General features: G+C 37.3%; 1 protein-coding gene across 6 annotated transcripts in view; it reads right to left on the bottom strand.

The window, feature by feature from the left end:
- Nucleotides 1-14,238, bottom strand: part of PRIM2 (DNA primase subunit 2) — a 425,311-nt gene that overhangs the window by 60,826 nt on the left and 350,247 nt on the right. The gene's annotated exons all lie outside the window — the stretch shown is intronic.

Here is a 14,238-nt window from a genome sequence, read left to right as displayed (position 1 = left end):
GTTCTGTTGTAGGTGATCTTGGTTACTCAGGTGGTGACTTAGATAGAAAGAACAGCTACACGAACTGGGCATAAGTTCTACCCATGATCTCAAGACATTAAGAAGTCTCAACAGATGGTTCAGCTCGTCTTTACTGAAAAGGAACTGAACACAAGATGGACTTAGATTGCTGAGAGAAGAGAATAATGCTTTATTTCCTTGAACAAAAGGAGCAACTGACAAGATGCCCTCCTTGGCCAAACTTAAGTCAGGCTCCTCGGAATCCTCTTCTCAACCAGGCCTTGACCTTTGGTTTCAATTTTGTGTAGCACAGTTGTAGTAAGAATCTTGCAGTCAGTTTAGAGAGAACCCCCTACCCTCACTATCTGTTCACCTTCAATATTTGATCACCCTCGGTATCTAATCAAATTCCGCATCCCTGCACTCTCCAACACCCGCCTTGGTATCTCATCACTCAGCCTGTCTTGAGCAAGAATCATTTTAGGTTGGCTTAACCACAATCTCCCCACTCCTTAAGTTTCTTTCATCTCCGTAATTTTTCATCCATTAATGCCACCTTGCTCTTTGGCTATAAATCCCCACTGGTCTATGCTGTATTCAGAATTGAACCCTGTTCTATACTAAGGTCTCTCTTCCCCTATTACAGTAGTTCCTGAATAAAATCTGTTTTTACCACTTTAACTACTGTAATGTACAGCTCCACTTTTCTTTAAAAAATAGTAAGCACTCAATACTTTAGAGTTACTAACATTACCAAGGTTGTCAGTTTTACTATTAACTAGGAAAAGCTATCTTGAGTAGGTCAAACCCGGTGTGTTGTTTAATATCACTTAAATTACTTATATTTTGCCTCCAGCTTCTTCATTAGAAAAATCTGCATCTAGTTACTCTCTCTAACTCCTCATAGGAGCTTAAAAAAATCAGTTAAGCAATTTGAAGTCTGTAACACAGCTGGAAAACACTGCTTTTGTTACTCTAATTCAGCAAATTACCTCCTATGGTGTATTAAATATTCCTTTTTCTGCTCTGTAAGAGTTAATTCATTTCTCATCGGTGAGAACTGTTTACAGGCTTGTGAAGCAGCAAAGTGTTACAGAGATAACACAGATTTTGGTTCTAACTCTGCCACCTACTAGCTGAATTATGTTAGGCAATTATAAGTTACCTCAATCTCTTTGTAGACTAAACTGTAAGTATGTATTATATGCTACAATTATGTGTATAAAATTTGTAGAAACTAGTTTGTGCCATTTTTGAAAGGTGAAATTTATAAAATAGTTCATTTTATAATCAAATATATCTCTGAAGACTCCTGGGAGTTCCCCTGAAAAGGTGTTAAAAATTGTAAAAATTTCACCTATTATGAAGGTTCCATCCAAAAAAGCAGGACATATGTTCTTCATCTTCATTTCTTAATCTCTTCCCCTGAAGTCATGGAGAACATTTTCAGTTCTGGACTCCATAGTATACAGAATTTCTTTCTCAAATTTCCCATGGGGCAAGGTCAAGACACAGTTTTAAAATTTTCATTGACCACATTGTTTTCAGAAAATGGAAATAGTGAAATGCCAAAAATCCACAGAATAAGTATTAAATAGAATAACCTTATGTAAACTGATGTGGCCACTCATTAAGCAGACCATTTTCAGTGATGTCAATAGATCAAAAGAAAGGTCAGCTGTGTATCAAAGGCTCTGCCATAATCATCAGAGGAAAATGGAGAGCTATCTGTTCAGGAATACTGGAGGTAGGCTGGCTAGTGGGTTTGTTTCATCTTTTTCAGTATACCCAAATAGACTCAGAAAACAAGATTTGAGGGCTATTTGTCACCTGGGGCTCTGTGATTTGCATCATTCTAACTATATCTATTATATTCAGTCAGATATTTAATAAATAAAATTTCTAAATTCCTAATGGGGAATTGAGTACAAATGCACTACTGTTATTAGCAAAAAGAAAAACAAAAACAAAAACAAAAAAAACCAGGGTAACACTTAGTGATGTTTCAACAACAGTAGCTTACATTTCTACAGATCTTTAGTGTTTAACAAGATGATTCTTCCTGGACTTTTCACTAACTGTAAGGTATGCAAATTAGATATTTGTATTTTATAAATGAGGAAACTAAGGTTTCCAGAAGTCAAGTGGATAGTTATTTCAGTTACTTAATGGGAAACCTGAAATTAAAATCCTAGTCTTCTACATTCTAGAAAATATTATAAAATTATAATATTCATGGGACTGTAAACTAGTTCAACCATTGTAGAAGTCAGTGTGGCGATTCCTCAGGGATCTAGAACTAGAAATACCATTTGACCCAGCCATCCCATTACTGGGTATATACCCCAAGGACTATAAATCATGCTGCTATAAAGACACATGCACACGTATGTTTATTGCGGCATTATTCACAATAGCAAAGACTTGGAACCAACCCAAATGTCCAACAATGATAGACTGGATTAAGAAAATGTGGCACATATACACCATGGAATACTATGCAGCCATAAGAAATGATGAGTTCATGTCCTTTATGGGGACATGGATGAAATTGGAAACCATCATTCTCAGTAAACTATCGCAAGAACAAAAAACAAACCGCATATTCTCACTCATAGGTGGGAACTGAATAATGAGAACACATGGACACAGGAAGGGGAACATCACACTCTGGGGACTGTTGTGGGGTGGGGGGAGGGGGGAGGGATAGCATTGGGAGATATACCTAATGCTAGATGACGAGTTAGTGGGTGCAGTGCACCAGCATGTCACATGTATACATATGTAACAAACCTGCACACTGTGCACATGTACCCTAAAACTTAAAGTATAATAATAATAATTTAAAAAAAAAGAAAATGTGGCACATATACACCATGGAATACTATGCAGCCATAAAAAATGATGAGTTCATGTCCTTTGTAGGGACATGGATGAAATTGGAAATCATCATTCTCAGTAAACCATCGCAAGGACAAAAAACCAAACACCACATGTTATCACTCATAGGTGGGAATTGAACAATGAGAACACATGGACACAGGAAGGGGAACATCACACTCTGGGGACTGTTGTGGGGTGGGGGGAGGGGGGAGGGATAGCATTGGGAGATATACCTAATGCTAAATGACGAGTTAATGGGTGCAGCACACCAGCATGGCACATGTATACATATGTAACTAACCTGCACATTGTGCACATGTACCCTAAAACTTAAAGTATAATAATAATAATAATAATAATAAAGAAAATATTATAAAATTATAAATGGAGAACAGAAATAAACACAGATAACCAACTATCAGTTATCCATTCAACTACAGGCTGCTTCCCCACTGTCACTCAGTTGCTTCAAGGGCCATCTGAAAGTCGCACTGAACCACGGTTAAACAAAGTGTTTCTGATTTCAATGAAAACCAGAGAAAAGTTATCTACTATTTAAAGAAATAGTAACTCTAACAAGTCACTCATATTACTTATCCAGTTTCTAATTTAACAGAACTTTAGAATAATAAAATATGGCAAACTTGAAGTTAAAAGTCTGAACTAAAAAATATTAAATAGTGTTTCAGTATGCTTTCAAATGGCCAGTTTTCTTCACATTCCAACTTCCTATAATTATCAAGTTGAGGACACGACAAGGAACTGAAGTACAAATTCAGAGAAAAGGAAGTATACAAATGGAGAGGAAAGGATATAGAACACGCCATTGCTTATTAAACTAGCAACTTGATCTGTAGCCTTAGGAAATTTAGTTTTCTTACCAGTTAGAATTAGGATTTAAAAGCTGGAACAGGCTTCAGACCTTACCTAGTGCAGCCATTATTTGATAGTAAAACAAGGAACAGAGGGTCTAACCCTAAGTTCCAGTTTCTAAGTGAGTTAGAAAAAAAACCTTTCTAACAGGCATGGTCGCTCCCACCTCTAATCCCAGCACTTTGGGAGGCTGAGGCAGGAGAACTGCTTGAGTCCAGGAGTTTGAGACCAGCCTGGGCAACATAGTGAAACAAAAAATTTAAAAAATTAGCTAGGCATGTTGCCCCATGCCTGTAGTCCCAGCTACATGGGATGCTGGTCTGGAAGGCCTTAGACCCTGGGTTGCCTAGTTCATGCGCCTCTTGTTCACTTCTTTAAACCCTGTGTGTAGCACAAAACCTAGCAAATTGCAGCTGCTCAATGAATGTTTACTTGGCTGAACTGTTAGGAATCTTTTTTGGACTGTATGTTCATAGGGTCATCCCCACCAGAGGACTGAAAGCTAATCTTATGACATACTTCTCTGTTAACTTTCAGTGCCAAAAAAAGATTTAGCAAGTAAGTTTCTGCCCCTGAATACTATAACTTAACATACTATTTAAATAGAGGCCTTCAACAGTTCAACCTGGAGGAAACGGTCAGGGGGAGTTCTACGGGAGATAATTTTCATCAGCTATCTGTTCAGACACGTATGCCTACTATTAACGATATATTAATGATAAAACTTTCACCTTGTTTTAGAAAAATCTGCTTTATTCATTGATATGAATGCCACTGATGTAACAGCAATGAAAATTTATTAAACTTCCAAATATAATTTGCCAAAATTTGAGATAGAAACCACAGACAACCCTTCACTTAGGAAGTAAAACATTTACTAATCACATACTTCTAGCCGAAAAGACTAGATTTAGTAATCCTTAAAAGGTGGTCAATTTAGTCTCTACCTCAGTAGCAGAAAAGGAGCCAACATAAAACAAGTATCACCAGAAAACCACAGGAGTACGCCGAGTGATGTAGAATTTGCTAGTCCCAGATAGTTGGCTCAGCTTGAATAAATGGTCTTTTCACTCCACAGAAACAAGAAAACTGAGAACATCATCCAATACTGCATTCAGAGACTGCACAATTAGCTGATCAGAGCTAATCTAGAGAGAAGCTGCCTTTTCTTCACAGAAACAAGAATTATGATTTTTAAAAATGTTTTGAGGAATTAAATGCAAATTTATTTCACTTTTACTAGATTAGTTTCACCCTATTTACTTATTTTCCCAGATTTATTTTCTGTCCCCACCTCCCTTTTATTTTTTTTTCTTTCATAGTTGTTTTTCTAGAACTCATTATCTGGCCACTTTACTCAACAGTGAATATTTTCAAGTATTGCCTATTTTGATAGAATTTTAAAAATCTAACTTGATCATCAAAAAGATGTCTAAAGATACTACAGATGGGGTTCAAAACATGCTATTCCAAAATATGGCACTTTGGTATTTCAGGAAATAGCAAAAGCAGAAAAATCACTCTCATTATCCCCTCGACCCTTCTCCCCTAAAGCAGGTTATAAAACCTTGAAAGAATTCTTTGACCTCTCTTCTCAGTAAGAACTTCATTCCAGAGATGCCCTGGAGGAAAGAAATGTCCTTATCGCTGAAGACACAGGGATACAGAGAAGAATGTGAACAAATAGGCCTTGCAAGCTTCTCCCCAGTTTATTAGATTATATCCCTTTTATCTTATCATACTTCCCTATGACCACTTGTCATCAAACTAAGCATAAAAAGTTTTTCCTGTTTGAGTTTTCATATCCTTATGAAGGTTCCCATGTCATACAAAACCCATATGAAATAAATTTGTATGCATTTCTCTTATTAATCTGTCTTTTGCTATAGGACCTCAGCCATGAACCTAAAGATGGGTAAAGAAAAAATCTTTTCTCCCCTACACTACTCATAACCTAGTAAAACTATTATGTGCAATGAGTCTAAGGTTTTAAAACTTTCAATTAATTAACTAATTTTATTTTTTGTAAACAGGAGATCTTGCTATGATGCCGGGGCAGGTCTCAAATTCCTGGCCTCAAGCAACCCTCTGTCCTGGGCCTCTCAAAGGCATGAGGCCTTTGAGCCTCATTGAGATTACAGGCATGAGCCACTGCACCCAGCAAAGTCTAGGGTTTTGAAGAGCTACCAAGAAGACTGCAAAATATAACTCCTTAATCCTACAAATGTTAAGAAAAGCAATATTTTTATATAAACATTTAAATATTTTTATATATTGATATATTTCAATATGTTTCTGGGTGCATAAAGGTTTAGAATTGCCTTATATTAGTAGACTATACCTTTTATCACATATAAAAATATAACTTTGTCCATTTTAATACTTTTCTCCTTGTACTGCATTTTGTATAACATTGTCACTCCAAGTTTCTTTTAAATTCCCCTTGCTTTTATCTGCACCCTCCCTCCCCATGCCCACCTTTATTTTCAGTCTTTCTGTGTCAGGACAACTTAAATAAGCAGCAAATGGGCAATTGGTTACCCAGGGCTACCCTCTAGTGGTTACTCATAGCATATTAAAATATACCTTTTTCTATCAATGTCAAAATTAATCAACCTTTACAAAAAAAACAAGATCTTTAGCACACTTCTACTTACACTGTTAATTATCAAATTAGCTCCAGAATAACTCTTAAACTAAATTGCTGAAGGATTAAATTATTTTCACAAAGTCACAACAATATCCTGAGATGTTTCACTTATTAGATTACATGTTATCTTCTAGTCATCTAAGCATTACTACATAACAGACAACCAAAAGAACAAAATTACATAAAATTTTTAAAGCTAGCAATAAATAATAGAAGACTATACCGTGCCTTGAAATGACAAATGTGATGAGATGAAGTTTTAATTTACTGTGACAAGCCAGACTGTTCCTGTACAATTTCAAGGACAAAAAAAACATGGATCTATAAGCCTCCTGTTGTAGGCGAGGGTTTGTTTCTTTTCTAAAGGTCAGGAGCCAATAGTTCACACTTGGTGAGACTAAATTCCCTAAGGGCTGCCTCTGAAGGAGATCAAGAGAGAAATGTATCCAAAAAAAAAAAAAACTGTATCAAGAATTAGAAAAAACGTATGTTAGCTGACAGATGGCTAATTTATTTTTTTAAGAGAATTTACAAGACTTTTTGGAGATGTGGTTGATTCAGGACTGAGGCAGGGAAAATACAAGATGAGTCTGAAGCATCTTGTGGTGCTAGGGAGGATGTGCTCAAAAGAAGGAAGGAGGTGGGCCGGGCGCGGTGGCTCACGCCTGTAATCCCAGCACTTTGGGAGGCCGAGGCGGGCGGATCACGAGGTCAGGAGATCGAGACCATCCTGGCTAACACGGTGAAACCCCGTCTCTACTAAAAATACAAAAAATTAGCCGGGCGTGGTAGCGGGCGCCTGTAGTCCCAGCTACTCGGGAGGCTGAGGCAGGAGAATGGCGTGAACCCGGGAGGCGGAGCTTGCAGTGAGCCGAGATCGCGCCACTGCACTCCAGCCTGGGCGACAGAGCGAGACTCCGTCTCAAAAAAAAAAAAAAAAAACAAAAAACAAAAGAAGGAAGGAGGTGTGTCAAGAAAGCACAGGAGCCAATCTGAAAGAGCTCCCAGTGGCCAAAGCTGAACATTTTGGACAACAAAATCAACAACAAAGACTGGATTATAACCCATAGAATGAAATACATATCCATGAATGTGCACCAACATAAATAACAGAATACATAAATAAACGGGGAGAAAGGACAGTTTTTCCTTATAGAAACATTCCAATAATAAATGTAGATGGAATAGGGGAAATAGAAAATAACCTTTAGAGCACCTTAGTGATGATACTTGCAGGCAAGATCCATGGAGGGATGACAAAAATCAGTGGGGAAACAGGATATTTACATAGTCTAAAAGTATGTCCCCCAAGATGTTCTGAGGAGAACATAGTAACTCTACAGTGGAGAAACCCAGCAGATACCACTTTAACCAAGTGATCAAGGTTAATATCACCAGCAATAAGTTATAATTATTAATAATAAGTAATAAGTGTTGATATCACATGCCCTTAGAGGGATACGATGAGAAGCGAACATCACGCCTGTCCTGCCAAAAATGCATGACCTCAATCTAATCACGAGAAAACTTCAGACAAACCCAAAGTAACCAGTATCCTTCCAAAGTATCAAGGTCATGAAAAGACAAGGAAAGACTGAGAAATTGTCACAGACTAGAAGAGATTAGGAGACATGAGAACTAAATGCAACGTGGAGTCTTGAACTGGATCTTGGAACAGCAGAAGGACATTAGTGAGAAAACTGGTAAAATGTGAATAAAGTCTCTAGTTACAGTATTGTACCAATGTTAATTTGTTGATTCTGATAGTTGAATAATATTTGTGCAAGATGCTAATATTAGGAGAAGCTTGGTGAAGAGTATATGGAACTCTTTGTATTGTTTTTGTAACTTTCCATTAATCTAAACTTTTCTCACAAATAAAAAGTTTATGGCTGGGCGCAGTGGCTCATGCCTGTAAATCCAGCACTTTGGGAGGCTGAGGTGGGTGGATCACCTGAGGTCAGGAGTTTGAGACCAGTCTGGCCAATATGGTGAAACCCCATCTCTACTAAAAACACAAAAATTAGCTGGACGTGGTGGTGGGCGCCTGTAATCCCAGCTACTCGGGAGGCTGAGGCAGGAGAATCGCTTGAACCCAGAGGTGGAGGTTGCAGTGAGCCAAGATCGTGCCACTGCACTCCAGCCTGGGCGACAGAGTGACACTCCGTCTCAAAAAAAAAAAAAAAAAAAATTTATATACCAGGCAATGGAAAAGTACAACATAGATTACCTCATTTGATTCTCCTAATAACTAGGCAAAGGTGGTGTGAATATCCCTATTTTACAGCCTAGGAAATTGAGACTTCGAAATATTAAGTGAAATGTTCAAATGCACACAGTAAGATGTGTCAGGACTGAAACCTTGTTATGACATGTTCAAAGTCTCCATTCCTTCTACCATGTTATGAGGATCTGCACAGGCCTGTACCTACCCAAGAAACACAAGTAATCTCTTCTAAAACTAGAGTAAAATTTTAAAGTGGCAGCAATGCTAAAAAAGCAGCAGAGGCTATATTCAGAATCTAGTGGCAATTTTTAATTTGCTTAAAATATGCAGTTTTTGGGGAAACATGGTTTTCTGTCAAAAAGGCAAATTACTATATATTTAAATAAAGTCATTTGTATTTACTATGACATCCAGCAAGTCTTATAAAACTATACAAATTACAATATACTGCTATGCTACCCAATATGAAGTATAAAAAAGATGATTTTGTAACAGGTCATTTAACTTCAATAGGCATAGATGTTTTATTATATAGTTCAAAGATACCTAAAACAGATAAGAGGGGAATTTTCAGATGTCTTAGTGTTTTTTTTTTTCCTTGCAATTTGCAACATTAAACCATTTACCTACATAAACACCACATAAATATTATTTAATACAAAGAAGCAGCATATCAAACCCTATAGAAATATCTGAGAAAATGTCCATGACGGAAGAGAAATGCTTCCCCCTTTTCCCTTTTAGTGATACGTTACAGGCATCACAGTAATGATAGGTTACTTCATTTTGTGAATGACGATAAAGGATCAGAATTAAAGCCCCTAAACAAAGTGGTTCCTTTCTCATAACCAAATGTAACTGAATTAAGTTATTGATGGATTGTGTTCTCTGCAGTGCAGAAAGATGGCTCTGCCAAGGAAGGGCTATGTAAACTTCATTGTCTGGCTTCAGGTTATCTGTTTACTTCTGTACTTCACTGTGATTTATCATTAAGAAACTGAATTTGTTTTGCCACACTATCCCCCCTTTGAATGAACTGTACACTGGAAACATGCTAATAGAAAAAGATAAGACAAATTGCATTTTTTCCCAATTCTACAACCTAATAATTTTTAAAAGCACATATTTTTAAAGGTTAGAAGATGCTTTAAATATCCTAACAAATTTCTCATATTTATTTATAGGAATTTAACTTAAAAATTAAAATATCAACAGTATATTATCATGAACATGCCTTCCCAACATGTTGGGAACATGTTTTCCCAACAACAGTTGGGAAAAACAAGCTGAGCACAGACTAAATCAGACAATTTAGGCTGGGCATGGTGGCTCACGCCTGTAATCCCAGCACTTTGGGAGGCTGAGGTGGGTGGATCACCTGAGGTCAGGAGTTTGAGACCAGCCTAGCCAACATGGTGAAACCCCATCTCTACTAAAAATACAAAATTAGCCAGGGGTGGTGGCGTTTGCTTGTAATCCCAGCAATCTGGGAGGCTGAGGCAGGAGAATAGCTTGAACCCAGGAGGTGGAGGTTGCAGTGAGTCTAGGTCGCACAACTGCACTACAGCCTGGGCAACAAAAGCAAAACTCCATCTCAAAACAAACAAACAAACAAAAACAGACAATTTAATACACTTTAAAGCATATCAAAGTTTTGAAGTCTGTAGTACCTTAATCAAGAAAAAAAAAGATTAATTAAACTGAATATTAAAACTACCTATATTTTATATATCAATTATCACCCCTCAAGAGTAAATTTTCCAACCACTTGGTAATTATCTCATTTATTTTCACAATATCATTTAAGTATGTAGGAATAGTTAACTTATTTATATTTGCTGATGGCTAGCTGAGTAACAGAGTCCCTCAATAGCACATCTAAAACTCCAATCTAGGTCTGCTGATTCCCTATGCAGAGCTCATTCACTGAATCATAACACCTCTCAGCTATTTACAATGTGTAGTGAAGGATACAGAATAGCTTGTCGCAATGTATTAGAAAAAGCAAATACATCATAGTTGTGTTCAGCAGTCTACCAGCCTCCCTTTTCATGTCTGGGTACATTTTACAATTCAGCAGATAAAAATCACCATTTAGTGTGATAGAAATTACTATCTTATTTATTGGCTGTATTAACTCGACAGTGAGAAAGAGAGAAAAGATGGATCTTGGGCTAGGTCGTTCATGGTCCTTCTAGCCCTGATTTCTATCTATAAGGCAGGAAGAAAATCTAAGTGTATTGTTTATCCACCAGGAGATTGGTCTGGGCCATGTTATGTTTGAGGAGCCTATTTGGCATCCAAGGGGAGACACAGAGCAGGTAGTTGGGTATACCTGACTCTAGGGTACGAAGAGCAGTCTGGCTGGAGGTTCTCTGAGAATGCAAACTCCAGGAAAACAGGGATTTTGTCTATTTTGTTAAGTTCTATACCTTTAAGCACCCACAACAATGCCCAGGACATACCGAGAGCTCTATAAATATTAGATGGGACTACATGAAACTGCCATGACATTGTACTATTTTTGATCTATATTAACAGCAACTTCATATGATTCTATCTAGTACTTACTGAATAAACGATACCCTGTAATTTTTCATTTCACAGTCTCTCCTCTGGATCTGAGCTAAAAGAATTCCTGCCTTACTGGAAAAAGAGTACAGCAGAGTGGGTAGAAGATCCTGAAGTTGGTCCTTGCTCCTTTTCAGACCCCAACGGTCTCAGTCTCCCTCTTTCCTGGCTAGTGCATTACAGGCACACTAAATATTGTTGGTGGTGATGATGACAGAAATTACCTTTTCCTAATATTTCCTATAGGTAATTATTAGAAAATTAAAAGTAGCCACTTGCAAATTATATAACTAGTTGATTTTAAATAAATTTACAGTATTTTTCTCAGTACTGTTACCGGGTAGAAGGTTCTGATCGTGAGTTGTCCAGGTCCTTGGCACACTGAACACAGAACTGAACAGCACACACAAACAAGCAAGGAAAGTGTAGACTTATTGAAGTGGGAGGCAATAGTAGTGAAAGCACACTCCACAGAATGGCAGCGGCCCAAGCAAGTGGCTCAAAAGCCTTGGTAGCAAAGTCTTCTGGGGTTTAAGTACCCTCTAGAGGTCTCCCATTGGTTACACCCTATGTAAATGAAGGGCTGGCTCATGCCAATTAGAGGCCGAAGTGAACTGGCCCATGGCCAATCAAAGACAAGCTGGATTGGCACCTTATTTATGCAAATGAAGGTCCTAAAATGGACCAATCATAGGCCACAGTGCAGGTTTGCCTCATGGCCAATCGGAGGCTGGTGTGAATAGGCACCTTATGCAAATGAAGGTCCTAGAATTTAGTTCCAGGAAGTTTGCATGAATTGGCCTTAGGTTCCCTGCCTTCAGAGCCTATTCTTTTGCCTCACTACTACAGTTATCATTTTATAGCTAAAGTTTCTGAGTAATAGATTATTTCTCCAAAGCCATAGCAGAAGAGTAGATAGGTAAACTCAAAAGTCCTGAAGTTCAATTTTGGGCTTAATTCGTTACAACTTGTCTCTAGCACCAACTACGCGGAAACTCTATATATGTGTGTAAGGATGTTACTATGCTATTTAATTACATTAAGGGATTTTTCTGCCCATATTTGTTTTCCTATGCTATATCACATTTAGAAACTTCCAAAGACAAATCCAATTGCTTATCATTTTACCTGGATACTTTACCTGAATAGATTATCACATGAAACAACTTTTCTCCTGAAACACACACACACGTATATATAATCTTTAAAAGCTTATATGAGTGATCTTTAAATTACCATACTGCTATATACAATTTCCATAGTTCTCTTTTTGGTTTATCATGTCATAAACTGAGCATAAAATAAGAATTATTTTCTATTCTGTTTTATAAAGAAATGCTGTTCCTGAAGAACTTTAATATATATTAATTCAAATTTAATCATTTAAATAGACTGTAATAAAAAAAAGCTGAGGATGACTATGCAAATCTGAGCATGGTGTTCTGATAGGACAACTTCTAGGATCACAACTCCACTAGCCACTTCACATGTAGACGAACTTTCTTTAAAACTCAAAAGCTGCCTCTGATGTCCTATATAGCATACAAATGAGCAGAACAATAATGAGAAACACAACACATGTAAAATTACGGGAATAATACTATTTTGATGTGCAGCTTAAAGAGTAATTTGTTGAATAATAATAATCCCCAAGACAAGTTGACAAATTAACTTGCTTCTAAATAAATGAAAGTATAGGGCAGCTGCAGTGGCTCAAGCATATAATCCCAGCAATTTGAGAGGCCAAGGCAGAAGGATTGCTTGAGCCCAAGAGCTTGAGGTTAACCTCACATACAGTGAGGTTACTCTATGACTGTGCCACTGCATTCTATCCTGGGAGACAGAGCAAAAACCTATCTCTAACAAAAGTAAATAAATAAGTAACTAAATAAAGAAAAGCATAACATTACTTTTCAAACTTAAGTAGTGGCAGATGAGAGCCCTTTCCCAAGCAGCTACATTAGGTGATTTGTAAAAAGGCTAGAATTTGTTTTACCTTATAATACCAAATAATTCACCTTTCACAAAATGTGCTGCTCTGGCTTGTTTAAACAATGGATGTACCCCCCATCACGTGATTTGGTCTCTCTTTCTTAGCTATATTCATCCAATCTGGACAGTGAACTGTAATGGCAGGGACATCTCTCTATTCCCTTAAATCTCTCTGCCTTATGCCCACTGTGCTTGACAGTGAGGATCTTGAAAAACTATAAATTCCACAGGTATGCACACAAAATTGCATATAAATGTATAATGTACTGTTAAATCTCAATTCCTTAAAGATTCAGAGGATTATTATCTACTCTTCCCTTCCGTTATGAAAACATCATATCCCACAAACCTGCAAAATTAAGTTACCCAACCAACAAGCGCAAGCTGTTTAGCTCTTAAATTGAGGTGACACAACGTGCAAAGGAAAGTCACCTTAATTGCACTAAGGGAAAAAAAATGCACTAAAACCCATCTCTCTGAGCTGAGCCTTCATTCAATATTGAAACAAGTAATCTCAAATTCCATGGTTTTGGCTGCCGCTCAACACTATTCCATTCAACTGGGGATTGAACAAAGCAAAATAAAAGGGAGCTTTAATGTGCCTTTTCTTCTCCTTTTTGCTATACTACATTGACAGCATCTTGTTCATTAATTAAACTTTTTCTTCCCTTAAAGAAATAGACTGTAGGGTGCTATACTGGACACTGAGGAAGCAGGCAGGAAATAAGAGGCATAAGTTAGAAAAAATCTAGGATTTAAAAATTGTAGTTGGAGATACAAAATATTCATGAACGATAAAACAGATATAGAGAAACATTTCAACAAATACAAAGTAAGATGGTAAGTATTTAACACATACAGGGGTTGACATGGAGGCAGAACTAGGAGTGATTAGAGGTTCCTCTCATGGATTTTACATGAATCAAGACAGCTCCACCTTGATGACTGAAACAATTCAGGTGCCTTGCACATTTTCTGTCATCCACTAGAAATGGGGTTATGAATTTAGGTCTTTGGAGGCTATGAACCCAGTTAATAATGA

This window comes from Homo sapiens, chromosome 6 (genome assembly GCF_000001405.40).
Source record: "Homo sapiens chromosome 6, GRCh38.p14 Primary Assembly".
Classification (NCBI taxonomy): domain Eukaryota; kingdom Metazoa; phylum Chordata; class Mammalia; order Primates; family Hominidae; genus Homo; species Homo sapiens.
The sequence above is the reverse complement of the archived record's forward strand: the minus strand, read 5'-3'. Positions and strand labels throughout refer to the sequence as shown.